Source organism: Homo sapiens, chromosome X (genome assembly GCF_000001405.40).
Source record: "Homo sapiens chromosome X, GRCh38.p14 Primary Assembly".
Classification (NCBI taxonomy): domain Eukaryota; kingdom Metazoa; phylum Chordata; class Mammalia; order Primates; family Hominidae; genus Homo; species Homo sapiens.
The window spans coordinates 25049589-25051854 of NC_000023.11; the positions used below are offsets into that span (position 1 = coordinate 25049589).

Sequence of the window (2266 nt, forward strand, 5' to 3'; positions counted from 1 at the left end):
AAGTTTTTTGGCTTTTATCCAAACACTCGTGAGCTTCATTTGTGTTCACATATAAGAAAAGCCAACCCGGATCTTCTAATAATGCTTTATTTAGTGCTTAAACTTTAATTGCAGGGTACAAATGATACCATTAGGAACCGATATCAGTACTAATGCCACCTATATTATTATTTACTCCTCTGAAAACTAAGCTTGTTGAAATATATTTATTAACACTGTACCCCAGCACTACACATTTAAAGCTTAATTCTGTGGCTGTTCATGAATTCTCAGCATACTACAGTGTTGAGGCTTCCTAGCTTGAGATAAGTTCATTATGAAATGGGAGTGATAAAGTGTGTTAGTGTTTAAGTTAGTGTGTTAGTGTTTAAGTTAGTGTTAGTGTTAGTGATAAAGTGTTTTTCCAGGTCACAAATACAAGCTGGTTTATGCAAAGGATGAAGCACCCTTTGTGTAATTCTAGTCCCTTTAGCTAACAAACAGTTAAATTCAGCATTTATGATGTATAAACTTTGCTCCTTAGCATTAAAATGTACCTTATTCACTCGGTAGATTTCTCTTTCAACCATGGCTATTGTTTGTCACTAACAGCTAGCTTTTGTGAAGTTAATAAATGTGCATAATAAGGACATAAAGGTATGGAGAAGTAATACTGTAATCCTTTTGTTTGGATAATCAGTCTAATGTATGCAAATTAAACCTTATTAGTACTAGGGTTTTGTGTCTGCTTATCAAAATGTGCCATTTTCATGAAAATTGGAAGTCCATTATATAAAGTTATTATTAACAGTCATTTAGGAATTATATACGGTATGCAAATTAAAGTTGATTACAACTAATTAAGGGCTTTCTTTGTTATTTGACCTTGTCTGCTTTTTATGTAAATATGTTTCTTTTGGTCTGGCATATTTTTAGACTCAGAAAAGTATATTAAGACAAGTTACATTATGTAGTTTTTAATATATCTTTGTGTTGCCATTGTCTGTGCCCCTCATTTTCCAGAGGCACATATGATATGTAAAGCCATGTATCTTATTTCACTATTTGGGGATGGTTCTCTAGGTAAGTGGGATTTCCGAAATAGAAAACAATCAAATTTCCAGGCCCCTTCAATGAGTTTAATGGAAAATGAGCACAAATCCAGTATAACATATAAACAGTCTTCATGCCAGAATACCCTTTTTTCCACTATTTATTGACTTCAGTGAGTCTTGGGTTACAGATTTCCAAACAGAGCTGAGTAATAGATGATCATTACTGGCTTACAGGGTGTCCCGCAAAACCTAATTGTTTGTTATCTGTGAAAGCATTCAGCTAAAGATAAGTGACTTTACCACAGAAAATGTAACAGTCTCAGTACCAATGGCCTTTAGGAAGAATTGTGCACTCCCTGTAAAAATGAGGAGTTTCTTAGTGAGCGAGGAGGAAACATTTGAAGTGTGACTTTTAAACACTTATTAAGTTATATCTTTCCTTCAGTACAGTTGCTCTAGTTGTTTTCTGTTAACAAAGAAGCTTGATACAGTGGCTGGAGCAAAGCATCCTGGGGCACTTGGTTTAATTGCACGATGGAAGAGATCTGTTAATCAATAGCTTTTCAAATGCCTTGAAGTATACTGGTAGGAAAAAGAATGTGAAGATAAACAGTCCAAGGAAAGAGGCCAGAATATTGCAAGAGTGGAGAAAAACAAATAGTTATCTAGGTATTTAAAAGGGGCAAGCAAGAAACTAGGAACCAAATCACCACTGAATTCATCCAAATTTTGAACATTTTCTTTTATTTTTTGACTTTGAACAACAACAGTTTAATCTTTGAAAAATGCCATTTGAATGCTTATAAAGGGATTGAAAGCAAAGTTTTAATTGAAGTATAATATACAAACAGAAAAGTACACATATCATAAATGTACGGCTTGTTAATTTTTCACAAACTCAAAACTCTGATGTAACTAGCACCCAGATCAAGGAGCAGTACATTAACAGCACTCCAGGAACTCTCTGCTTTTTCATAAACCAGGTTACAGTATATGTGCAGGTCTGTTTCTAGACTTTTTTGGGGAAAATTGACATCTACACAATCTCCAGTGCACTAATCTATGAACATGGTATATCTCAGATAAAGGGACTCTTTTTTTTTTTTTTTTTTTTGAGACAAGGTCTCACTCTATCACTCAGGCTGGAGTGTAGTGGCACAATCATAGCTCACTATAGCCTCAACCTCTGGGCCCAAGCAATCCTCCCGAGTTGCTGGGACCACAGGCATGTG

At 35.0% G+C, this 2266-nt stretch overlaps 1 annotated feature.

Moving 5' to 3' along the window:
- Nucleotides 343-930: an enhancer, noted in NCBI's record as "OCT4-NANOG hESC enhancer chrX:25068048-25068635 (GRCh37/hg19 assembly coordinates)". NCBI's record gives its function as "activates a minimal SCP1, AML or CMV promoter by ChIP-STARR-seq in primed H9 embryonic stem cells {active_cell/tissue: H9 hESC(primed)}" and the evidence as "EXISTENCE:reporter gene assay evidence [ECO:0000049][PMID:30033119]".